At 41.4% G+C, this 26,959-nt stretch overlaps 1 protein-coding gene and 1 long non-coding RNA gene across 22 annotated transcripts in view, besides 1 other annotated feature; one reads left to right on the plus strand and one right to left on the minus strand.

The window, feature by feature from the left end:
* The window catches only part of LOC105371856 (uncharacterized), a 33,200-nt gene extending 9,587 nt beyond the window's left edge, over positions 1-23,613 (minus strand). Inside the window, exons 1-2 of the long non-coding RNA NR_188626.1 lie at positions 23,590-23,613; positions 23,337-23,494 (exon numbers count right to left, since the gene is read on the minus strand). This is a non-coding gene — a long non-coding RNA (uncharacterized LOC105371856). The remainder of the gene's footprint in view (positions 1-23,336; positions 23,495-23,589) is intronic.
* The window catches only part of TANC2 (tetratricopeptide repeat, ankyrin repeat and coiled-coil containing 2), a 461,469-nt gene that overhangs the window by 424,583 nt on the left and 9,927 nt on the right, over positions 1-26,959 (plus strand). For 13 of the 21 annotated variants that reach the window (XM_011524597.3, NM_001394998.1, XM_006721810.4 and 10 more), the window contains 9 exons: positions 4,926-5,111; positions 8,004-8,097; positions 14,305-14,438; positions 15,337-15,460; positions 20,694-20,869; positions 21,181-21,313; positions 21,863-21,892; positions 22,726-22,817; positions 24,711-24,857. In XM_011524597.3, coding sequence (XP_011522899.1) covers positions 4,926-5,111; positions 8,004-8,097; positions 14,305-14,438; positions 15,337-15,460; positions 20,694-20,869; positions 21,181-21,313; positions 21,863-21,892; positions 22,726-22,817; positions 24,711-24,857 — 1,116 coding nt within the window. The remainder of the gene's footprint in view (positions 1-4,925; positions 5,112-8,003; positions 8,098-14,304; positions 14,439-15,336; positions 15,461-20,693; positions 20,870-21,180; positions 21,314-21,862; positions 21,893-22,725; positions 22,818-24,710; positions 24,858-26,959) is intronic. The other 8 variants (XM_011524598.3, XM_006721807.4, XM_006721811.5 and 5 more) reach the window with 1 other exon arrangement.
* Positions 9,171-9,465: a silencer, noted in NCBI's record as "tiled region #7022; K562 Repressive non-DNase unmatched - State 13:Ctcf". NCBI's record gives its function as "represses a minimal TATA promoter and a strong SV40 promoter by Sharpr-MPRA in K562 cells {active_cell/tissue: K562}" and the evidence as "EXISTENCE:reporter gene assay evidence [ECO:0000049][PMID:27701403]".

A 26,959-nucleotide genomic window follows, 5' to 3' on the forward strand; every position in this document is an offset into this window, starting at 1 on the left:
TGTTCAGCCCTTACACTGCCAAGCCATCCTTTTCTTCATCTTTCATTGTTTTCCCCAGAGCAGAAATGTAACTCATATGTACTTCTTTCAAGATCCTATCACGCCTCTTCTGCCCTTCATCACTGTGATCGAGCTCATCTCAAGGTGCCTGTATCTCAAAACTCTTATCAGTTCTTACGTACGCTCACCTCTACTTTGCCTTAGAGAAGGAAGTACTTACCTTCCTTTCCAGAGCAATTGTCTCCTCCTCTACACTCTTAACCCACGGTGTTGCTCATTCTCTCACGTTATTTCATTCTTTTTCTAAATTCACACTACCTTTTTTCTCAGTTTCTACAAACCTATGAATGTAGAAACCTACCTAACCTAAAAAAGAAATGTTCCTCTCCCTTGCTAACCAGAAGCAACATCCCATCTCTTCCCTTTCACCTCTGCCAAACCTGTCCTAAGAGTCCTCTATACTGGCTACATTCACCTCTTTATTACTCCTTAACCACTTGCATTCTGGCTTCCATGAATGAGAGAGGAGGCAACTCATTAAAATGATAAGCTTTAGGATCAGACACAACTGGGTTAAATCCTGTGTCCATACTTAATTTATACAAGGGCTTGAACAAGTCACTTAACCTCTCTCAATCGCACTTTTCATCTATAAAAAGGGTGTTAAAAGAGTCAGTGTAAGCATTGAAAGAGATAAAGCCTTTTTTTAAAAGAGGTGTTAAAGTCTCTTTTAATCTTATATAGTGCCTAATAAATAGTATCTGTAAAAAAGAAAATAACCCAACCTCCCTACATTCTACCAAGCTGCTCTTTTAAAAGTCACTAATGACTGCCATTCACCAAATAAAGCAGCTTTGTCTTATTCCTCACATCTCTGAGCCCCTCCATAGTATTAGCAATAATAAACCTTTTTTTTTTTTTTTTTTTAAACAGAGCCTGGCTCTGTTGCCTAGGCTGGAGTGCAGTGGCACCATTCTTGGCTCACTGCAGCCTCTGCCTCCTGGGTTCAAGCAATTCCCCTGCCTCAGCCTCCCAAGTAGCTGGGACTACAGGCGCACACCACCACGCCTGGCTAATTTTTGTATTTTTAGTAGAGATGGGGTTTCACCATGTTGGCCAGGCTGGTCTTGAACTCCTGACCTCAGGTGATCCACCCACCTTGGCCTCCCAAAGTGCTGGGATTACAGGCGTGAGCCACCGTGCTCGGCCAGTAGTAAACTTTTAATGTCATTTCCCACTTCTCTGGCTGCCCCTCTCTTCTTCTTCTGATAGAACTGTTCACTGAGATCCTCTGGTCTTCCTTCCGTCCTCATACTCGCCATGGCTTCAGCATTAAAGTCATAGGCTTTGGCGTCAAACCCGACTGGGTTCTAGTTCTCCTACCTACATTTTGGTGACTCTTAACCCCAAATTGCTAATTTCTGAAAGTGTTTTTGAGCTGTAGTTTCACATTTGTAACTGCTTCCTTGGCAGGCATGTTCATATCCCTGACTAGTTAGTTCCTCAGATCCAGCTTTCTAAAATCACTCAGCATCTTTACCCTCCTCTTTCTGGATTTTCAAAGTCTGCTAATGTAGCCTCCGTTTTTCTCAGAACTAGGGAGTCATTGACATCTTTCCCTCCTTTGCCCTTCCTAATTCATTTAGTGGCCAGCACTTTTCAATGTTATCCTCAAAAGAGCTTGAGAAGCTACTCCTTGGTCTCTACCCCAACTGCCACTATCCCCCTGAATTATTCTTGGAGTCTTCTTGTGTAACAAACCCGTTTTTCAGATTCTCATCTCATCTATTACACACCATCCCCTTAGCTTTTGTAGAGCTTTTATTTTGAAGTAATTTTAGACTTTCAAAGATACTGCAAAAATAGTGCAGAGACCCAACACAAAGAAATGATACACGTTTGAGGTGATGGGTATGCTAATTACCCTAATTTGATCATTACACATTGCATACATGTATCAAAATATCACACTGTACCCCATAAATATGTACAATTATTGTGTCAATTTAAAATAATAAAAGTAAATAAAATAATTCTCTTGTAGGCAAAAAAAAATGCATAGAGTTTCTATATATCCTCCATTCAGCTTCTCCTAATGTTAACAGCCTAAGTAATTGTAGTCTCATTATCAAAACCAGGAAAGTAATTTGGTGATAATACTATTAACTAATCTACAGACCTTACTGAAATTTGTCCAACTGTCCCACTGATCATTTTTGCATTAGAGAATCCAGGTCAGGATCTCACATTACATTTAGTGTTGTGCCTCCTTAGTCTCCTCCAACCTGTGAGAGTTTCTCAGTCTTTGTTGATCTTTTATGAGCTTGACAGTTTTGAAGAATACCAGCCAGTTGTTCTGTAGAATGTTTTTCAATTTTAGTTTATCTAATGTTTTCTCACTGTGAGATTGAGTGTATATATTTTTGGCAAGAATACCACGTAAGCAATGCTGTACCCTTATAAAAATGCAGCACTAGAAGTCCCTGCTGTTGATAGGTCTTATTACAGGTGGTGTTAACCTCAGTCACTTGGCTACCCTAGACCTGCTCACCAACACACTGACCATATATCAGTGATGATGCGACATTGTCCAAGAAAGTACATACCAAGGCCACCGCACAATACCTGTCCAAAAAGGCCTCCAATACGGAATAATGTTCTTCATTATTTCAGAAGTCTTTTTCTTCGCTGGATTCTTCTGAGCATTTGATCACTCTAGCTTAATCCCTACTCCAGAATTAGGAGGACATTGACCCCCAACAGGCATCTAAGGTAATGTCTTCCAGGTTTCTCAGCTCTGAAGTTACTGTTTTTCCTTTTGTAATTAAGAAATATCTTTTAGGGTTATGCTTTTGAGACTAGAAAGACAGACATCCTGGTTCTTGTCATACTTTTGTCCACTAATATTAGGATCCATCAGTGATTCTTGCTGCAGTAAGTATTATTATTATTATTATTATTTTTTTTTTTTGAGAGGAGTTTCACTCTTGTCGCCCAGGCTGGAGTGCAATGGCATGATCTCAGCTCACTGCAATCTCCGCCTCCCAGGTTCAAGTGATTCTCCTGCCTCACCCTCCGGAGTAGCTGGGATTACAGGCACCCACCACCACACCCAGCTAATTTTTGTATTTTTTAATAGAGATGGGGTTTCACCATGTTGGCCAGGCTGGTCTCGAACTCGTGACCTCAGGTGATCCACCCGCCTCGGCCTCCCAAAGTGCTGGGATTACAGGCATGAGCCACCATGCCCAGCCACTGCAATAATTATTGCTTTGATGTTTGCCTAACAGTGATTTTCTACTTCCATCATTCCCTCAACATGTATTAATTGAGATGTTACTGAAAGGGAAAGCGATCCCTTCTCCCCCATGTATTTATTCAAGTATTTATTGATATTGCTATGAAGTCATGGATATTTATTTTATTCCATAGCCTGAAATCCATTACCATTATTATTCATTTTCATTGTTCACCTTGCCCCAGATTTGGCCATTGGGAACTCCTTCAAACTGATTCCTGTGTCCTTTCAACTTCCCTCTATTAATTTTTGAGCATTTTCAGACTTTCTGACACCACAAGATGTTCTAGTCTCATCTCTTACCCCAGTCCTGGAATCAACCATTTCTCCAAGGAGCCATGGTTTCTTTTATCCATTCGCTTAGTTTTTGAAAATACAGTTCTGAGCATGAAAACACTCAATGACTTCACTGCCTATTGGTTACAATTCAGACCACTTAGCCTGGCATTCAGAAATATCCATGCTCTGTCCCAAAAGACCTTTTCCGCCTTAGAGTTTAAACTTCCCTTTCATGTGCCCTACTCTTACAAAAAGTAGAATACATTAATCATTTTCCATCTCAGCCAGTCAAGATAGACCTTTCTGTCTGAATCTGTTCCTGATTCTAGCCAGGAATTAATCTTTCCTTCCTCTGAAATGTTATTTCACTTTTACATTCCTTTAAATTTATTGTATACTCCTTTGTTGGACAGGCTCTTGTCACATTGGTCACATCTCCCCTACCTTGTTGGAGAGTCCTTGAGAGCAGAACCTATATATTTACTGTCTTATTCACCTAAGTGGTACTTTGCCACATACTCTGTATTCAGTAAATATTCACTATGTGGATGGCTGGATGGAACTGAAATCAGTAGGAAAGCCAGAAACAGAACTTATATTTTCAACTGATCTAACTACCGCAGGACAAGTACCACCTACCTACCAGAAAAGGCTACTCATCTAATGAAAGGCTACTCATCTGTTGAAACGAAGGCCCTTCTGGTAAATCAATCTTGATCAGGGTCTTCTTTCAGCCTAAACTTGTAACCAACACTGAAATTATGAAGACTGCTACTGGTGCACTAAGCCAGAAGTGCCTCTAGCCATTTGGGGCAGATCTTTGAGAGTCCTCCCTCCTGCTGGAAGAGAGAAGCAGACTTTGCCAAAGTTTGGTGGTCAAATGATTCATGATGTGAGATGTTTTGCTTCTTTGGAAGGCCAAAAAATTGTAGCTTCATAATGTTTTTCTTCCCTTTTTTGATTTCAAAGATAATTTTTTTTATGCCAGCAGAGCTACCAGTTTCTCAAATCTTGGTCTAAAATGAACTATTTGAGGAGACAAAGAAGAATTTACCTCAGGAAGACGAAGCTCAAACTGAGAGTTTTGGTTTTTGTTTTTCTTGGAATGCAAAAAAAAAGTCTGACCTTTTCTGAGGAAAAGAAGTTCTTCCCAGAGGGACATTTAGCATAGTTGTAGCTCAGTAATAATCTAGGCTGAGCAGAGTCTCCTGAATTTGCTCAGAGATTGGTTCCAGGAGTGGAAAGGATGATTCTTAGTAGCCTAGGCTTGTGCAGTGGCGGATGTGACTAGATTGCGAGCTCAGCCACAAGTCTGTGTTCACACATATCTCCTGTCCTCTCCTCTTAGGTGGATCATTTGGATAAGAACGGGCAGTGTGCTTTGGTTCATGCTGCACTCCGAGGTCATCTGGAGGTTGTCAAGTTTTTGATTCAGTGTGACTGGACGATGGCCGGCCAGCAGCAAGGAGTATTTAAGAAGAGCCATGCCATCCAACAGGCCCTCATTGCTGCAGCCAGCATGGGTTATACTGAGGTAAGAAGTAGGCAATAGGATTGTTTTTTCAAGCTCTGTATTGAAGGACCCAGGAAACCAGGAGAAAAGATTGCACGAAGACAAAATTGCCAACCAAATTAATGTGAATTCGTGATCGCTGCTCTGAATAATAAGGAGATTAAACTCCATGAAGCACTTTACTCAAATGCCAAAGTCCCTCAAATTATAGGTATAGAAAGGTGCGAGTTGGAAAGGACCGTGGAAATGATATAATTATTCTCCATGTTTTCCTCCCTGTTTAACAGACAGTGGCACCAAGGCTCAAAGAGATGAATTATTGAGGTGTAGTCACATGGTTAGATAATGTGGCACAGGAACAGCATAACATTTAGAATCTCAGAAGGACCAGATTTGAGTCCCAGCCTCGCTATTCATTAACTCTAGCCCTTGAACAATTTACCTATCTCTTAGAAGTTTAGTTTCCCATCAGCAAAGTGAAGCTAATAAACTCCTTTATACAAGGCTGTTGTAAGGGATGCTTGGTAAACTGTTAAACATTATACAGTTTATTTATTAATGATAATAACAATAATAGTGGCAAATGTAGGGAATTGGTAGTGTGCTAGGAAATGTTTAACAACCAACTGTGAAGAGGGGTGTGGGGTGGAACAGGGGTGTGTGTTTGTGTGTGCATACGTTTATTATAAATTTTACTGATAGAATGTGTTGCCGTGGAATACTACACAGCCGTAAGAAGAACAAAATCATGTCCTTTGCAGCAACATAGATGCAACTGAAGGCCAGTATCCTAAGTGAATTAACACAGGAACAGAAAACCAAATACCACATGTTCTCATTGATAAGTGGGAGCTAAACATTGAGTACCTATGGACATAAAGAGGCAACAGTAGACACTGGGGACTACTGGGAGGGGAAAGGAAGGGGAAAGGGTTGAAAAAAACTGTTGTTATCCTCACTACCAGGTGATGGGAACTTTTGTGTCCCAAACCTCGGCATCATCCAGTACACCATGAAACAAACCTGTACATTCACTGCCCTTGAATCTACAATAAAATTTGAAATAATTAAAAAAAAAAAAAAGAGGCTGGGCGTGGTGGCTCACGCCTGTAATCCCAGCACTTTGGGAGGCCAAGGCGGGTGGATCACCTGAGGTCAGAAGTTGGAGACCAGCCTGGCCAACGTGGTGAAACCCCATCTGTACTAAAAATACAAAAATTAGTCAGGCGTGGCAGTAGGCACCTGTAATCCCAGCTACTCGGGAGGCTGAGACAGGAGAATCGCCTGAACCCGGGAGGTGGAGGTTGCAGTGAGCTGAGATCATGCCATTGTACTCCAGCCTGGGCAGCAAGAGCGAACTCCATCTCAAAAAAAAACAAACAAACAAAAAGAATATGTTGCACACAACTTACAAATAATAATGAACTATATAATACTCTTAATTGAAAGCTTTTGTTGATTTTTGCCAAATTTTTAGCTAAACTGTGGTTGTAACTTATAACGAAAGTTTGACAAATGGAGCTGCATCCCAGTTTGCTCTTTTCTCAATAACTGTATTGCCGTTAAATCTGATATGTGATCTACTGTTAAACTACTTCTCGTCCACATACGAACTATATTCATTGAACTGAATCCTCTTTCAGCTTTAGCACTAAATGAAGCCCTGATTTATAATGTTTGCCAGTTTCAAGGGTGTAAATACTCCCATCATGGCCAATTTCAAGCTACCAGTGTGACATCACTGAAACAAAGAGGGGAGGAGAAGCATAGTAGCATGTTGTGATGTAATATTCCCACCATGCAGACAAGACATGCACAATCAATATAAATAACCTCAACAGCATAGATAATAGTAAGATATAGTTAAATAATAGGAAGTTGAGAGATTTGAGTATTCTTTAACCTTTGTTTTTAATGTTAATTTATTTAATTGCTATTTGATTTCTAATAAACAACTGGCTTTCAGAATTTCTGAGAATTTAACAGTCAGCTTTCATGGGCCAGTGCAAGCATGGGATAATCAGCAAAACAGCTACCATATCAATTGAGCTGACATGTCACCAAGGGAGTGTTAAGTAATATTAAATTTTATCATCTGTGGGAGGTTTTTGAACCGTGTTCAGTCAAATTCCCAGAAACAGAACTGTCACTTTTCATTGTGTTTAGAGATTTTTCTCCCTTTACTAGTTGCAGAACAGTCCTTATACATCTGAGAGGAAAAAGGAAGATAATCACTTTACTCTGAGGAAACACAGGGCCAGATGCAGTGGCTGACACCTGTAATCCCAGCACTTTGGGAGACCAAAGCAGGAGAATCACTTGAGGCCAGGAGTTCAAGACCACCCTGGACAACATGGCAAGACCCACATCTCTGGGGAAGAAAAAAAAAACTTTTTTAATTAGCCAGGTGTGGTGGTGCATGCCTGTAGTCCCAGCTAATCCGGAGGCTGAAGTGCAAAGATTGCTTGAGCCTGGGAGGTCAAGACTGCAGTGAGTCATGAACACATTACTGCACTCCAGTCTAGGTGACAGAACGAGACCCTGTCTCAAAAAAAAAAAAAAGAAAGAAAAACAGGCCCTCAGTTTTCTCGTATTTATTTTCTATGGCTTTTTTATAGGGAGGAGGAAGGATTGCTTCTTTAACTTAAATATGAAGAATATGTAATTTTTAAAAAATCACATGCTATATAAGTGAATTGCATTCTAGAGAAATGTGCAAACCATACCTGATAAGACAAATGCTCATCATGGAAGCTGTGAGTTTCTTTATTAGGACGGTCAATTCTGATTCCTTTTGTGTGCAAGAGATTTAGTGATACTTGGATCATCCAAGCATCTTCCAAACCTCACAGGCTAGTGTCAGTAGCATAGTTTTCCACCTGAAGTTTGAGCTGACACAACTTCTTGTTTCAGATTGTCTCCTACCTACTTGATCTTCCAGAAAAAGATGAAGAGGAAGTAGAGCGAGCACAGATCAACAGCTTTGACAGTCTCTGGGGAGAGACAGGTACCTCTCATGGACGTTGCCCTCAAGAATGTGTTGTGTTTGTGTGGACTCTCGAATCTCACCCCCTTATTTTTTCCCTGGCATACATTTGGCAGTCTTCTGTCTCAGGCTTTTGTAATGCAGACTGATTCAGCCAAACTAAACAGTCAAGCAGTTTTCCTCTTTCAATCCTCTTTGCCTGTGGATTCTCCATACTCTTTGCACCAGAGTCTTCTTTCAAACAAAACTTTTTCCCTCTCTTGTTTCCAAATATTTTTAAAAGACTGAAAGTTACCTTACAATGTGCCAAACCAGAGCAGAAAATTATTGTGGCCTGTCTCCTTTTTATGTGATCCTTGTAGTAGTTAGGAATAAATATTTCTCCCATCAAAATAACTCTTTCCCCTTGCATTTGTTAACCAGGATGTTAAATTTTCACCCACACCTCTGGCTTAACCAAATGTTACTGTGATAGCGTGGTATCTGACACAATTAATCTAATACATTATGAGTAAAGTTGCTATCTGGATGCACAATGAATGCCCAGCCTCATGCAGTTCCTGTTGGTCTGTAGCAAATCAGTTTCTGTATCGTTCGGTACAATGCAAACAGAAGCCTCTTCCTTGTGGCCTTTGCAGGAAATGATTGTTGTCTTCCCTCCAAGTCTAAACTGCAGCATCTGGAGAAACATTAGTAACCTTGGATGTGTTTTTATGAAACCAGGGCAATGAAAACTGTAGAGTAACCCCAGATATGTGTGATATTTTCCAGGAGAAGTAGACCAATATTGAGATGGCCAATCTAGGGAGAATATTTTACTAAACAAGAAGGGTATGCATTTGGGTTAGGATAAGAGTGTTATTAAAAATAAGAGGTTCTTGAACTCATTTAAAATTTATAAAGACCTATTGTGGCATTTCTTCTCGTGACAAAGTCTTAGACACATTTCCTGACTTCTTTAACATCATGTGGAATGGTCCAAAACTCAGGAATTTGCTTCTCGAATAATCCCTCCTTTTGTAAGATCCAAAGGGAGCAGATGCCTGGCAGCTGCAGCTTAAGAGTCCATGACAGATTAAAGGAAAGTGTACAGCTGGAAACAGCTGCTGTCTCTGGAGCCCCACCCTGAGGGAAGCCAGAGGACAGGCTGAGGGGAAGGAACTGGGCAGGACATCAGCCGCTCTGGAGTATGCATATGTGTGTGACCCAGAGCTGCAGGAGGGACATGTTGGTGTGTTTCTATCAGCACAGCCTTCTCCAACAGTGTTGCCACATCTCCAGCAGACCCTTTGTTGCCAAGGGCATGGCGGTGTAACCACTGACAGCAGCAAAAAGAGTCGTGTCCCCATGGTGATAATGAATAGAAATTACAAGACTAATAGTCATAGCGATGAATATCAAACACATTCTAATGGTGTACTTGAAAGAAATCCTTAAAAATATTCAAGAAGGGCGTGAATTAAATGGAGGACTTATTTTTATTGACATGAATTTCTTATTAGAATAAAATTTTATGGCCTCAGGATTTTTAAAATATTTTATTCCTTAAAGTATACAATAAATTTTTACAGTGAATGTTGTACATATGTACCATATTTCAAGATTTTAAAAAATCAAAACTTCATGTGTTTGCTTGTAATCAGAATTGTGTTGTGTTTGACTTATGCATATATACAATATAATTATAATATTATAAACATGAAGAGCTACTTAAACATGAGTTAAGATGGAATTTATTTGTAATATGATTTTTTTTTTCTTTTTTTTTGAGACGGAGTCTCACTCTGTCCCCCAGGCTAGAGTGCAGTGACACAATCTCGGCTCACTGCAACCTCTGCCTCCTGGGTTCAAGTGATTCTCCTGCCTCAGCCTCCCGAGTAGCTGGGATTACAGGCGTGCACCACCACACCTGACTAATTTTTTTTTTTTTTGTATTTTTAGTAAAGATGGGGTTTCACCATGTTGGCCAGGCTGGTCTCAAACCCCTGACCTCAGGTGATCTCCCCACCTCAGCCTCCCAAAGTGCTAGGGTTACAGGTGTGAGCCACCGTGCCTGGCTGTAATACAATTTCTATATCTATGAAAAATTATTTTATTTCAGAAAAAATTCTGGAAAATAATGTTTATTATGTGGCAGTGACCCTAGAACTCATCACTAGTATAGAATGGACTTTGATTTACTGTTCTATCTACTGTGATGGTTATTAAACATACATGTGCCTTTCTAACTTATAGCACATGATCATTTAAATTTTATAATGACCTATTGAATTATGATGCTTCCTCCCATGACAAAATCCTATACATATTTTCACATACAAAAGTGGTCTGTGACCCAAAGCTAGTTGGTGGGGGCTCATATCTGCAACCAGGACCTAAGTGACAATTTTTAACCTAAGGAAAATACAATGGTCGTGATGTTTCCTATAATATGTATCACTTACTCTATCAAATCTAAGACACCATTAACTTTAAGAAACTATGTAGCCATTATTTTATGTGCCACTACAAAAACAAACAACTTCTGCCAACTATACTGACACAATTCTTTATTATCACATTAACTGTAAGATGCATTCCAATTTCAGAGATGTTAAAATGTAGAGGGAGAAAGTGAATCTTAGAATATTAATTGGGATGTGATTTTTACATATTAGATTTTCTGAAGGCAGATCACTAGAGCATCCTGGTTGCTTTCATCTTCCATTTGCAGCCTCTTTATCTTTCCAGATGTCATCATCTTACATCCAGCTTTCACTATCTGCTGACCCCCTCCCATCCCGTAGAGTTTTCACAGACTTCTTAGGGAACACCACAGAAGAAAAGCAAACAAGGTGACAAGATTGTTCACCACACCCTCCTCTCCCTTGTGTTGTGGGCACAGACCAGGACCAGCGCTGAGAGCTTCTAGCAACTCTGGAGGCCAACCCTGGAAATACATGGCCCCAAAAAGAAACCAGAGTTTACGACATAAACTTACTAGATTCCTTTAATTCCTGCCCTCATCATCATTTGCCTAGATTATTGCAGCTACCTCCTAATTGAGCTTCTGCCTCTAGCCTCACCCTTTTGTGATACATCTCTCAGACTTCAGCCAAAGTGGTCTTTTTAAGCCATAGTCTGTTTGTGTCACTTTCCTGCTTTCTGACCTTCATTTACTACTTGTAGGATTAAGTCCTTTAATGTAGCATAAAAAGACCAGTAATAACCTCCAGTCTCATATATTGCCTGTCTTCTCCAGTAATTCCAATAACAGTAAACATGTTGTTTTCCCCTCATTGCCTTTATTCATGCTCTCCCTTGGCCCACCCCACACCTTCCATGCCTGTAAATCTCCTGTTCATCTTTCAGCATCTAACTCACATTATCATCTCTACCTGGAGGCCATCTCAGAAACCTCTTCCTCTGTGCCTTCCCTCATACCAAGGACATATCTCCATTGTGCATATCACACTATATTAACATATTCGTCTGTTTCCTTACTCAACCATGAGTTCTTTGAGAGCAGTGTCTGACATATAGCTCAATAAGTGTTTTATTAATGTCATTTTGAATAGCAGTGATCAGTTTATTTCTCCCCAGCCACTTCCCCCTCCTACCCGACCCCTTGATCTTACATGACCTGTCTGTGCTGGACTCTTCCAAGGTTGAAAGTAGATGAAAGAGTCATGTGTATCTCTGCGTTCTCTTTAGTGTCAGCATCCCATCCAAGCAGACTCTGGCTGTTTCCCCAACTCTGAGCTACATCCTGTCTGCCTCTTCCAACTCCTTAGATGTTTCCCGTTGAAAAAAGACCATTTCTGTCAGATCATCTCGTCAGATGCTGACAAGCTAGGAAACAAATTCTGTTACTGCTCTTTTAGGAAGAAAGTTGGTTCCTAACTGCTCTGTTTGCAGTTTGGTGTTTTATAGAATTGGCTTTACCTTCATCTCCTTTCTTTTAGAAAGTTTTAACAGTTTTCGATAAATCTCATATAAAATCCAGCCATACAACTCCTTGCTCTTGGATTTTGAAAAGCCCAGACTCCATTTTACATAGTTGTGTTGTTCTGAGATGAAATTGGCCAGCTGTGTTAACCATGTCCAGCTATCAGCTGAAGGTTGCTGCCAAATGACATCATAACCTAAACAACAGAGATGATACAACAAAGAAAAAGGCCAAATGGAACATTCCCTCACATGTAAATGTGTTATCCAGTGGGGAGAAATGGGGCAGCCAGAGCCATAGAATTGTCAGACTGGACAGTATGGCTTTCCAGATGGTCACTGGTTGTGAATATTCAGATGTGTTCTGTGAACTGGCATCATTAGTGAGAGGCTTCATTCTGAAATTCTGTATTTTCTCTAGGATGCTGTAACTTCTTTCGTGAAAAATAATGTATTTGGCACCCTCACATACAGAGGTTTGCTGCAAACTTATCAACCTAGTAACTACTTTAAACGAGTTTAGAATGTGGGTTAGAAATTTTCCAAATGGTTTGTTTTATGCACCGAGATAATTCTTATGGTTCCTAGTAAGTGTCTATCCAGTCAAATTATTAAACTACTCTTGTGTTCTGACCCATATATAGAACTCACAATTTGTTTTCTAACCTTTTAGAAATATGAACTTGAGAAAGAGGGAGCATCACTTATATTTAAAAAACAAGAGATAAAACTTCTTTGTCCAGGAAATAATTATAGCCATTAACACCTGAGCTCACCCACTCAGGGATGGAAATGACCCTCACCTCAGATAGGACCATGCCACTGCCCTCCCGTAAGGAACTGAAAAGAAATGCCAATGTCAGGAGTTCCAACTAAAATTGAAAATACACATAAGACAAGCCATAGATAGAACTGGTTTAAGAGTGCATGTATCTTCTAAAATTACCACATTTTACTTCATAAGTCCTTCTTATCCTTGCAGAAGGAAGGAAAATGTTACTTGAAGGTTTATACTTGCGGAAATTACAGGTAGTTTTCATTTTGCATATGACTCAGTAGTGGATAAATTTGGCCAAGTCCAGAGACAAAATGCCATAATTTGCACTTAAGTGGAAATGAATGCAAATGTCCATTTGATGTAAATTTTACTTGCTTCTCTGAATACGTTTTAAAGTTTGCAAACTGCAGTATCTGTGCCTGCCAAATATTATCATTTTCTGGTTTGTTACTGGAGTAGGAGGCCATAATAAAAGAAGAACCTGCTGACTACTACATCAATTTTTTAAGTCAATTTGGAAAAAAAAATCTTTATCCTCTTCCTTTAAAATGAAGTATAACTCCTACATGTTCTAACAGTGTTTCCATCCTCCATACCCCTCATTTTTTAAAACAATAGACTTGTGCACCTGAGAGCCCATGGTTAAATGAAACAAATACATATTTGTTAAAAGATAGACTTCATATCTCCAAACTCCTCTTTCTACTGTTGAAACGACACTCTGAGGACAAAATAGGCGTTCGTAAAATCTCCTTTGTATCAGAGATCATATTGTCAGTGGACAGTGGCACAAAAAGAAGAATGTTTCTGTTTTTTTCCTAATGTGTCTCTTAAACTCACTGTAGCTATTTTTACCTGTGACTTCATTATTTTATATTCAGAAGAAAATAGTCTTTGTCATACCTCTTCTCTCATCTTTAAGACTGCTACCTTGAATCATTCAAATCCTTATATAAAAAATGATTGCAAATGTACCAGAAACTTCTGTATCAACTAATGAAGAAAAAGAATGAAAACTGGCCCAAGACCTTGGACTGCAATTCCTAACTTTGGTTCTCTAGGCTTAAGAGCCCAGGGGTAGAGCTTGGCTGGAGGTAGTTCCCAGCTAATTCTAAAACAAAACAAAAAAAAAAACTTTTTATCTCTGCAAAGACTCTTGTCTTTAGATTCCACCCACACGTAGACTAACAGAGTTTGTAGCTAGGAAGAGGTACCAAAGGAGAGGTAGACCAAAGCAGAGAAGACAGTCTGGTTAGGAAAAATGAAACCAAGTGAGTTTGATTAAAGGTGAATTTTCAATAGATTTATTATTATTGTCTCCAAATATTGTGAGGCAATTTAAATGTGTCTTTATTCATTATTTTTCTTTAGAACTTTTCTTTATGGAAAAGGTGGCAAAAATCATTATTCTTAGAAGTAAAGTAGCAATTACATTAATGAAACACAAGGATATGTCACGTTTAACATGGAGCGCTGGAGAGGACCAGAACCACCTATCCTCAATCTTTGTTCTCTGCCCTTAGCCCTAACAGCTGCAGCCGGAAGGGGCAAACTGGAGGTGTGCCGTTTGCTCTTGGAACAAGGGGCGGCAGTGGCCCAGCCAAACCGCCGAGGAGCAGTGCCACTATTCAGCACAGTGCGCCAGGGCCACTGGCAGGTAAGCAGGGCGACCACTTCCAGTCCCTCAGGCAGGACTGAGTTCTAGGTGAGGACTTCTGATGCACAGAGCAAAATGATCACAAGTAAAGTTTGGGTTACCCAGCAGTGATCAGGTTTGAGGACTTGGACCTTTGTTATGAGTATTCTGGTTAATTGAGAATACGACAGTTAACATTCAAAACCATCACTTGATACAGATTGTATAGAAGGACTAACTACTTATGTCCTGGTGATAGAGTGACCTCCTTCTCACATTTCACAGCATCCAAAGACTCCTTGGAAGGTTCATTTCTCAGCGGACTTCTGCTAATCACTTACTTGCAGATGTCTGAGACTTACTAAAAGAAAATACAGTGAATGCAAATTCTAACAACACAATCCTTTTAGATGTTTGGATTCTGGATAAATGTTAATTTATACACTTAGGATGGAAAGGAAAGCACACTGATAATAATCTTCAGAAGTATTTCAATAGAAAAAAGGCTGTAGAAGCCAAACAGCCCTAAAGAGTTACCAGAGTCACTTGATTATGTTCAGTTCAGTTGCAAGTATTAACTACAGGCAGATTTGCAACCACTAGAGGGCAATAAAGGAGTGATTTATGTTGGAACTTCCGCTATGGGATTGTTTAATCCTACATCTTGGCCTTTGTTAAGTTCTTTTTTACTTAGTAGCTGAGTCAGACATTGAGAGTTGAATCCTTCTCATTTGACTGTCCCTGAGAGAGATTAAATCACATGGTACTAGGACTATACAGGTACTTATGGGGGAAGTGGAAAGATACATGGGTGACTCGTACAGCAGTAGGAATTCCTACAGAGTAAGAGATAGTGTGCACGTGTCTTCTCAGCAGCTCTTCTTTGGGCTAATTGGTCCCTGTTTCTCTGCACTTGCAGATTGTTGATCTTTTACTCACCCATGGAGCTGATGTCAACATGGCAGACAAGCAGGGCCGCACTCCCCTGATGATGGCTGCTTCCGAAGGCCATCTAGGAACCGTGGACTTTCTGCTTGCACAAGGTTAGTCTTGGAATGCTAGAGCTGGCTGGCCAGTTTCCATAATTACCTGGTGAACTCATGATTTCCAGCAATGGATCCCAGGAGATGCTAAGAACAGATATTAATCCAGTTGGTTGGAAAATGAAAGGCTATCTCCTCCCCTCTTGTATTCAGTGTAATGTTTTTAACTCTGATACTCTCTATTTCCTTATGACTTGAGGGATTTAAATGAAATTAACATATTCTAAATTCTCATTCAGATCAGTAGTCTCCAAACTTTGATTTTTTAAAAATATATACTCAATAAATGTTCATCTTCCGGGGATTGTGTTCTGACTTTATCAATTCTTTTGTAAGCCTGCACAACTAATATTTTTCTTGAATTCAAAGGAGGCAAATGCCAGTGAAGATCCCTGCTGACTCTGGGATGCTATTTGGGGGATCAAGATTATTACCCTGTAGTAATAAATTCCTTTTGACACTTACCAACATCCACAAATTCCTGGTGAATGGGAAATAAGTTAAAGGAGATGATGATCACACCACCATCATAAAGTACGTCAGGCTCCTGTTGGTTGCTGTGACCTCTATCACCTGTGCATAACAGTGGCTGCTGATGATGGACCTCTGTAGTAGAAAAAGCTCATCACTGGTGACTCTGCAGTGCCATCTAGTGGAGCTTGAGCATTTACTTGAAGCAAGAGACAGAGGCAGTCATTCCAGTTAGCCTCCACTATTAGTAAACTGGACGCAAATGTCGGTAATTACATCCACAAGCACATGTACTTTCCTTCAAGAAAACCAACCTCCTGAAGAATTATGCCTAGGCCAGAGCAGCTGAGGGTAGTTTAATTAGGAAGAAATTAGGTTTCTTCTAAGATTTCAAACTACAGCTCAGTCAGAGACTTACTGGATCTTTAGCTGTATCCCTTAAGTAAGATTTTTTTCCACAGACTCAGACTCAAGGCTGGGTCAGAATCAGAGAGTTGCTCTTACAGGGTGCGAAGTGGCTCTTGCCTTCCCCATATAAGCTACCAAAGAAATTTGGCTTCATGCTCTCTCCCTTCATTCTGCTGGGGAAGCAAGGAGGAGGAAGGTTGGGCCTAGATTCTCAAGATAAGATGTGTCCAGAGTAATATTCCAGAACAAACCAAGTCCACTGAAAGAGGCAGGAACTCTTGAGCCACTGATAACCTTTAGATAGCTGCAAAGTACCTGTCATGTGCCAGTAGAGGCTCCGTAGCCATAGATTCCAGGTATTTGTTCTCCCTTACCAGTGAAGACATTTTCATCTTTGGACTGTTTCATTTTTTTCCACACTTAGAGGCTTAATGAATTCAACAAAGATTTATTTAGGCTATGTTATTAGCAGAACACTATACTAGGAACTATGAGTGGTTCTGATTTTTTTAATTAATACACTATAACCTGTGCCCTCAAAGGGTCTATAATGTGGCAGGGAAGAGATGAAACAAAGATAAATGCCTTAAAAAGCGGAGAATCCTGAGTGCTCTGATACAGGCGTCCGTTGAGTTAGACTAGGACAGACTTTGAAATTCGAAGAGGAAAAATGTTTTGTATTTAGGGAGAGGAAGTAACATAGATGAAAGGCCAAAGAGGAATGACAGGTTTGGAGAAATATGCAAGCTGTCTAGTAAAATGTAAGGGGACTACGGAAAATAAAATTGGAAAGGTATGTGGAAATGGAAAAGGACCAAGTTAGAAGAATCTGGACTTAATTCTAAAGGAATCTGGGGAGGCTTTAAAAATTTTAAATAAGGAATTGATGGCAGAGTTATGCTTTAAAAACAATCACTCTGGCAGTATGTGAACAGCAGATTTGACAAAGGAGCCAGGAGATCAGTTAGGAAGCCATCGTAATGGAACATATGAGGCATAATGAGGTCCTAACCCAAGGGCAGTAGCTTTCAGCATAGAACAAAAAAGGGCTATGTGCAAGAGGTATTTTGGATATGAAGCCTGATTAGATGTAGGAAATAAGGATAGAACAGTTAAAGATAACTCCAGAGTTGTAAGACGGACATTTGGGAGAATTGTGATTTCATTAACTGCATGAGAAAGAAAAGAGAGAAGAGGAAGATTACAAATTGGATTTTGGAAGTATTTAACATATTATGGATTTGTTTCATGTGTATCTCCTTTTAATTTCTTCTCTTTCCTTATCTTTGGAAAAATCAGTTCATCTGTAATGTACATCCAAAACTTTCTTATCCTACTCTTTCCTCCACTGGATACTTTGTCCAGGAAATTTATAGATGTTGCATCTGAGAAAACGCCTTGGATTCTGTTCCGTATTTAAACTTATTCCATATTAGAGTCAGTGTTTTAATTGCAAACTATACCATTACATAAATGGCTCTCATCAGGATTAAGGGATGGTCCCTTCCAGCTTTTCATCCTCCTGTGGGAAACCATAGACTCTAATGACCTCCAGAGATGCAAAGGTGATAGGCTAGATAACTGCTGAGTAAACCCTGAGCCTGCTGTGGCAGGTGCTAAGCTTGAGCTGACATCCGAATCCTGTCCAGCTGAGGGGGCAGCCAAGTGTCCTGGTGCAGTAAGTTGATCTCTGATGTAGTTAAATATGACATGCCTACTGTGTGAAAAGCGTTGTCTTAGGTACTCTTCTAGCAAGTAAATGATTCGCTTCTTACCATTGAAGGCCTTACAGTCTGGGTCTTAAGAACCAAATGTATATTGGATTTTAGACTGATTACAAAACAGCATGTCAGGTATGCTTGATCCTTTCAAGTGAAAATAGAAATGTTGAAGGGAAACAGATCCAGAATATGAAAGGGTGGGTGGAGAATTTAAAAGTGGGGATGGAGTTATTGAATAAGGCTGAGTAGTTTAAACTCTGAATTTTTTGTTTATTTGTATTTGTTTTTTGTTTTTGTTTTTGTCTTTTTTTAGAGGCAAGGTCTCACTCCATCACCCAGGCTGGAGTGCAGTGGCCTGATCATAGCTCACCAAAGCCTGGAACCCCTGGGCTCAAGCGATCCTCCCATCTCATCCTCCCATCTCAGCCTTCCTAGTAGCTAAGACTACAGGCTCACACCACCACCACACCTGGCTAATTTTTTAGTTTTTTGTAGAGACAGTCTCACCATGTTGCCCAGGCTGGTCTCAGATTTCTGGCCTCAAGCAGTCCTCCCACCTCGGCCTCCAAAAGTGCTGGGATTATAGGTGTGAGTTACTGCACCCAGCCAAATATTTATTTTTTTAATTGACAAGTAAAAATGGTATATGCAGTTATGTATCACTTAACAAAGGGGAGATGTTCAGAGAAATGCATTCCAAGAATTGTGTCCTTAGGTGATTTTGTCATTTGTAAACATCATAGAGTGCACTTACACAATCCTAGATGGTATAGCCTACTACACACCTAGGCTGTATAGTATAGCCTGGTGCTCCTAGGCTACAAACCTGTACAGCGTATTAACTGCACTGAGTTACTGTAAACAGTTGTAACACAGTGGTATTTGTGTAGCTAAACATATCTAACCATAAAAAGGAACAGTATTTATGGTGTACAACATGATGTTTTGATGCAGGCTGTATATCCCTTATCTGAAATGCTTAGTTATATATCGCTTATCTGAAACACTTCTGTTGGGATTTTATTTTTTGCATTTTGAAGTATTTGCATTATACTTACTGGTTGAGCATTTCTAATCCAAAAATGTGAAATCCAAAATGCTGCAATGAGTATTTCCTTTGAGTGTCATGTTGGTGCTCAAAAAGGTTCAGATTGTGGAGCATTTCTGAAATCAGATTTTCAGATGAGGGATACTCAAGCTGTATATGTATACATTGTGGAATGGCTAAATCAAGCTACTTAATGTGTGCATTACCTTACACACTTTTTTCTTCTGGTGAAAATGCTTAAAATGTACTTTCACAACAGTTTTCAAGTATATATTGTTATTAACTATCACTATGACTATAGTTAACTATAGAGTAGATTTAGTGTACTAGTTAGTAACTAGTACCGTAGATCTCTTGAACTTATTTCTTCTTTCTAAGTGAATTTTGTGTCTTTGACCAACATCTCTCCAATCCCCCCCCCCCATCTCCTAGTTTCTGGTAACCACCATTTTATTCTTTGATTCTATGAATTTAACTTTATTAGATTAAACTCTAGATTTCTTTCTTGTCCTGGGCTCAGTGTCCTCTCGTGTTTATTTCCCCCACCTGGGGAGGGAGAAGGGGCCCTGGCATCGTGATCAATGACAAACATGTCCTGGGCTCCTATTTGATGAGACTGTCTCAAGGAGTTAGCACTATTATCAATGGAAGGCTTCTGCTCAGCTCAGAAAACATTCACCGAACTCTGGTGCAGTGAGGGCCGAGGCAGGTGGATCACTTGAGGTCAGGAGTTCAAGACCAGCCTGGCCAACATGGTGAACCCCATCTCTACTAAAAATACAAAAATTAGCCAGGCATGGTGGTGCATGCCTTTAATCCCAGCTACTTAGGAGGCTGAGGCAGGAGAATTGTCTGAACCCGGGAGGTGGAGGTTGCAGTGAGCCAAGATTGGGCCACTGCACTCCAGCCAGGGCAACGGAGCAAGACTCCATCTCAAAAAAAAAAAAAAAAAAAAAAAAAAAAAGAAGCAGAAGAAAATGCTCATTGAGAATTTATTACATGCAAATAGTATACATAAAAAGAAATAATGGAATAAGTTGACTTATGTTAAGCATACTTAAGATGAGGTAGCAGTGAACTGTGAGAAGCTTCTTAGAGGCAGGAGGATGGAGATAGTTCCTAGAGAATGAGAAGTGAGGCAAGTCATGGGGGAAGAAAAGCTCTTCCACACATGGAGCAGCATGACCAAGAGTGAGGATGCAGGAGGATTTACGGGAGATCCGAGAGGCAGAGAGTGAGGATGCGGGAGGATTGACGGGAGATCCGAGAGGCAGTGAGCACATCCATTTGGCCAAAGTGGAGGATTCTCACAGGGGAATAATAAAACAGGTATAGAGAGTAATTAGGAATAGACTGTGGATGACCCTGAATACTCAGTAAAACGACTGGAATCTGTTTTATTGAAAGCTTATAGGATGAACTTTTAACAGTTGAGATACAACTGGCATACCAGCATCAGTCTTAAAATGGAAATAGTCCAGAAACGAGCAGTGTTCTTTGCAGGAGCATGCCCCTTCAGCGTACTTCCCCTCCTGCTGTGTGATTCCATGTCTCCTCAGCCCTGTGCTATCACTTGCCTTTGCAGGTGCCTCCATTGCTCTTATGGACAAAGAAGGATTGACAGCCCTCAGCTGGGCTTGTTTGAAGGGCCATCTCTCAGTAGTACGTTCTCTGGTGGATAACGGAGCTGCCACAGACCATGCTGACAAGAATGGCCGTACCCCACTGGATCTGGCAGCTTTCTATGGCGATGCTGAGGTGGTAAGTACCTTTAAACAAGCCTCAAGAGAGCAGAGAGAGGGGCTATTCTCCATCCATACTACCTGGGGTTGAAAGTGGAGTGATGTATTGATGATTCCTGATACAGAGCTCTCAGATCTATACTTGCTAGAGAGCAAGAATATTCAAAATGCTGTTAAAGATCAAGGATATAGCTAAGGCCTGAAATACATGGCAGCATAGCCTGGGGTAGGCCAGCAGTTGAAAAAGGGCAGGCAGCAGCCAGAGCCCTCGGTGGAACAGTGCTGAGCCATTACGCCTGTCCTAACTTCTCTGCTTGATCCGTGTCCTAGGTCCAGTTCCTGGTAGATCATGGGGCCATGATCGAGCACGTTGACTACAGTGGAATGCGCCCTTTGGATAGGGCAGTGGGGTGCCGGAACACTTCTGTTGTTGTCACTCTTCTGAAGAAAGGAGCCAAGATAGGTAGGAGAAGGGAAGAGGATGTTGGCCATCTGTGCCCAGGGGCCAGACTGGTCCAGTGGTCTGGCTGCCCTGGGTATTTGGTGTGAGTGTATATAGTTCCCCCTCCTCCCTGGCCCAATTATTGTCCAAGTGAACAGAGAGGCTCTTGGCCCAGGGAAAGCGCCATCTGAGCCATGGTCTGCAGTCCCCTGTGTCCAGAACCACGTGGTTCTCTACCATGTCCCTTGTAGCCTTAGCCAGGAGGCTGCTCTGGCCTTAAGCACCTCTCAGCACTGCCTCTGTTCCAGCCCCACTCTATCAGCATCCTGGATCTCTGCGCTGCCGTGAGCCTTTGCTTTCCCTTGCTCTGAATGTGCTTCAGACTCAAGTCCCTGCTGCCGCTGTCCCAGCTGCTCCCCAAGCCCACAGACCTATAGACGAGGGTTGGCTGATATGCTGGCTTTGTGCTGCCTGCCTCTCACTGCTGCTTTTTCCTTCTTTTTTTTTTTTTCACCTTCATCCATTTTTTTTTCCTCTCCTACAACTTTTTGTTTTCTCCTTTCTTTGAAGGTTGTCAGACGTTACCGAGTCGCCCACGAGGTATATTTCACCGCTGTCAGCATCAGGCGTGGTCTGATGGCTTGGTCAGCTTTGCCTTCTCCTCTTTGGTTTAGCCTGCATGAGTTCCCTACACCTCTAATCTTTTAATTTACTTCACCTTAAAAGAAGATTTTTTTTAATGACTGTTGTAGAGAATAACTTGAACTTTTGATAACTAACCTTGAAAAGCATAGTTTGTAAATAATTCAGGCATTTGTAAACTAATCAATTTAACCTTTTCTTTCTTTTTGTGGGTAAAGTCATCCTCAGTAATGTTGGTTTGTTTCACATCTGATTGACATTCGAACTGTGCTCCTGCTTCAAAGTGAATCCCGGGGAGTCCTAGTTGGTACTTATCATTTAAGGGAAACTTTAGAGTTATCAGTGGTTTCCCTTCTGCAAAGTACATATTTTAAAGTTAAGAGGCTAAACATCTGGGGGTTTTGAGTCCCAAATCCAAAATAAATTACCCTTTTTGGACTTTTCAAATCCTGTGGTAATGTTTAATATAAATCCTTCCTCCCAATTCCTTATTTAAAATAATTCCAAACTGAGCCATTGCTTGCCCACATGCAGCACGCAGGCTTTGCTGCCCTCGCGTGGGGCAGGCTCACATGGTTCAAGTATTCTTATTTTAAGGTGAATACAAATCCAATGCAGCTTCTTGGCAGTGGGAGTTACTAAAATACTCCCAGGTCTAAAAGATGAGGTACTAATTGTGGAGCAAGTTGTTCTCTCAGCAGAAATTCCCCTAGGGTATTTTTTTCACCTAGCTTCCTACCACCCTTACATTGTATGAGTTTTTTACCCATCATGCATCCTGTACACTACAGGTCCAGCCACATGGGCGATGGCCACCTCCAAGCCAGACATCATGATCATCCTGTTGAGCAAGCTGATGGAAGAGGGGGACATGTTTTATAAGGTGAGGGGAGGGAGGGACACAGTTTCTTCAGAACAGCCACTGACTGTTTTCCATGTGTAGAATCTTACAAAGTCTTGATAATTCTCATCCTTTGCGTAGAGGCAAAGGGAAACTACTGTTCCTCAGTGATGGCCTCATATGTTGGGGATCCTGGGGTTCTGCCTTACCAAGAGAGCAAGAGTAGCCTATAGTTGCCTGCAGCTGATCAATCTAAAGCCCTGGTTTCACCTGGTCACTCACCCATGGTTTTGTCGATTTTTACATGGAATCTGTTAGGTAGGATCTGGAAACTCATGAGACAAGTCAAAGTAAAATTATGTAGTATAGCTATTTCCAGTATGTTGATCCTAGCTTTCATATGTCATAATATATACATAGATTAAAAAGTATATAGTAACAATAGCTTATCAGCATCCTTGAATAAGATAAGGAAACCAAGACAAATAGCAATTATAAGATTTGTTTGAAATCATTCACTGAATGACAATAACAAAAACTGTGGAGGCTTTTTGTACTCACAGTCCAAGCTGAAGGCTCCATACCCTGACACAAATGAATTCCTTGGTCTATTACATGTCAAAGTCATCGCACTGGATCAGCTGGATTACCCTGTCCCGAAGCTTCATACAAATCCAACCCAGTTTTTGGCAGCAGTCATCACTGACACTTCCCCAAGACTAAAAGATAAGGAGAAATAGTTGTGAAGCATATTATTCTCACCTGTGTCAGGAGTGTACAAGTTCCTAGGAGCAGAATTCTATCTTCTAAGTACCCTTTGAATGAGTCACGGTAATCTAGGACTCCCAGGCTTTCAGGAAGCTTAAGCCCTGGCCCAACCTTGATTTTACGTGACTTCATAGAAGGTCCTCATTACCCTAGATGTCATATTTATGGACTTCACAATGGCATTACTCTCAGATTATGTCCTGGTTATAGCATAACTTCTGGTATTCTGAGGCGAGGAGTCCTCTTAATGAAAATATGCAGTGCCATTATTGTTCCCCTCAGAATTCTACCTTGAAAGACTCCAAATCTCTCCTTAGTGAATGGTGCTAAGGGAAAAGTAAAAGACTGGGATCCCTGTGGAGTTGTAACTATAGAGAAGGAATAGAGTGGATAAAGATCAGCTAAAGGGGTGGGAGATGCCGCCTGCATCTTTCTGGTCTCAGCTTATAGATTTTCAGATACAAAGTGGAAGAAAAGTTCAAGGTCGCTGTGGCCAGATCTCTAAATTGGTCATAGATTTACTTCCTCTTGGATAATCCCTCCTGCAACATCAGATGGAATCACAAACTCTAAACTTCACTTTTCTACTGCCACCCTACTCCATGCCTTTCCAAAAATGGGGAACACTGATTGGTATTATTTTATGCCATGAGATTAGGGAAGCAACTGCTAGACTGCTTTAGCTCCCACATCCTTCATGAGGAAGAGAGTGACTTCTAGAGGGCTGGCCAGGTGGAGCGTCAGACCAAAAAAACAGTTCTCCAGACAAGCCAGAAATTAAGGAGGAAGTAATAACTTTGGAGTGCTTGGGGTTAGGAAGTCATATGTGTTATAGAGAGCAAAGGAACTTTGAAATGAGCATGGTCAGCCTCTTTGGAATCCAGTTGGGAAGTCAGGGTCCAGGGCCTTCCATTTGCCAAGGCTTTGCCTCCCTGGCTTGTATCTTGGGTATCCCCTCAACCTTGCCTTTCCTGCCAGGTGAGTTTCCTATAGAAAAGACTAGACCCTTCTGCCCTCACCATCAGGGCCAGAACTCCTCTCTAGGCTGGCGTTTGGGAGGGTTAGCCCTTAGTAACAGCTGCTGAGAAGAAGAAGGGAGTGGGGACCACACTTCCTCAGCTGTTCAGCAGACCAACTGTGTGTTTCGCCATCTTGTGCTCCCATTAGAAAGGTAAAGTAAAGGAAGCTGCCCAGCGCTACCAGTACGCCCTGAAGAAGTTCCCTAGAGAAGGGTTTGGTGAGGACTTGAAAACTTTCCGGGAACTAAAGGTGTCTCTCCTCCTCAACCTCTCTCGGTGTCGCAGGAAAATGAACGTAAGTCCCTGTCACCCCAACTCCTTTCTGCAATCCTGGTAGCTGATAGCCTGTGTCACTCACTAGCTTTTACCAGGCCCCTGAAATCCTCCTCTGCCCCATTTGGAACTTGGTTGTCCTTCACAGAGCACTGACATTTGCAATTTGAAAGAAATCAAGTCTAAGTACAATCTGTATCTCAAACTGTACAGAAATTAATGCTGCGAGTACTTTGCAGCTTTCTGAATGTTCATAATTTAACTGAAAGTGATGAGAATACCATCTTTCCCACCCCCATACCACCAAGTCAGTGTTCTGGTCTTTGGGAAAATGTGAGAGCAGTGGTCACTAGAATTCCAGTTGCAATTAGATGTGAATTGTAGTCATTACTCTCAGGTATATTCCCTTATCATTTGAAGAAGGGCTAAGGAGAGGGCTTGGACCATGGTCTTGAAGGTTTAATTTCTGAGGCTATCGAACTTTTCGCCTCTTTCCTCATCTTTGTATCCCAGCATGCTATGTCCCTTCTTGTCCTAGGGGGAATCTCAGAACTCCCCCTGGACCTTTATCGTCTCCCTGGTAAGCCACGGTCCTTCCTGCCTACCTTGCAGACCCATCTCACATGTCCCCAGACACTGCTCCCTCAGCCACTGCCCTTTAACGTGAAGACACTCCAAGCCAAGAACCCTCTCTCAGGTTTTGGAAATAGCTAAGATTGTGTCAGGAGTCTCTGACATCTACCTGCCTGAGGTCTCACAGTTCCTCAGGAGATAAAAATAATCCAAGCCAAACAGATGTATTGATCAATTAAAAACTCAGCTGGACAGAAGCAAGATTTGAACCTCATGGCCAGGGATCTTCCAGAAAGATTTGTGTGTGTAACCTTTAGATCATCCATTCCAGACCCTAAACCCTGACACTGGAAGGAACCTGAGTTAAACCTGACTGTCTCAGAGAACATAGCCATGACCTTCAGAGGCAGAGTTAAACCTGACTGTCTCAGAGAACACAGCCATGACCTTCAGAGGCAGAGTTAAACCTATCTCAGAGAACACAGCCATGACCTTCAGAGGCAGAGTTAAACCTGACTGTCTCAGAGAACACGGCCATGGCCCTCAGAGGCAGAGTTGCTCCAGGGTGCTGAGGGAAGTGGGGATGTGGAAGAGGCCCCCCAACCCCGGGAAGGGAGAAGGTGGCGGTCTCGGGAGACAGATTTTCATGCTCTTGGGGTCTCCTGTGAAATGAAAGGAACAGCACCAAGGCCTCCCCTGCACCAGCCGATGAGGATGAGGCAAAGCTCAGAAGTTGCTGCCAACCCACTGATCTCTTTTCCCTACCAAATAATAGACTTTTTAAAAATGCCCTCATATTTTTAGGAATAATGATGGTCCCAAAAGAACAAATAAAAGGGTAAGGCTGGAAGCAGAGCAGGGAGAGGGTGACCCATAAAAGCTGAAATTCTTTCTAGCTCCACATTTGTTCAGAAGCGGTTGTTAATCACCTCCTGGGCCAATACTGTGCCAAACACCAGACGTCTGTCTTCTTAGGTAGAGGATTTCCCATCAACTTTTAAAAAATTTTTTTACCTATGCCCCAGGGCCTTTGTTCTGCCCAAGGCCTTGTTTTCTGCCTTAGGACTCATGACCATAACCAGAGGCTACCATGCTATACTGTGGCTTTGACACTAAAAGAAGGGGAAAGCCTTCTCTTTTAGCTTAGTATTTAAGGGAATACTGAAAACCATAGGCTGCCTAGTCGGCGTTGTTCCCCACCCCACCCCCCAGTCTCTGTTTCCAGGGGTTCTCAGGAATGACATGCCTGTGAGCGTGTTCCTCTAGGGAGAGCACAGACCTCAGTCACAGCTGGGGTCTTCTCTTGTTTTGTTTTATTTTTAATTTTAAGTGTTTCCTAAGTAAGGAACCAGTTAAAAAAAGGAACAGATCAGAGAAGCCTCTGTGAAATAGAAAGAAAACGATAATTAATGAGCACCTACTATGTGCCGGGAACTGTGCAGGGCTTTTAAATACTGTATCACACTTGATCCTACCCCCGGGGTAGGTATGGATGAGAAAATACACTATACACTTGGGGGTTATGAAGCTGGTCAGAGAATTGAACCCAGG

Source organism: Homo sapiens, chromosome 17 (assembly GCF_000001405.40).
Source record: "Homo sapiens chromosome 17, GRCh38.p14 Primary Assembly".
Taxonomy (NCBI): Eukaryota; Metazoa; Chordata; class Mammalia; order Primates; family Hominidae; genus Homo; species Homo sapiens.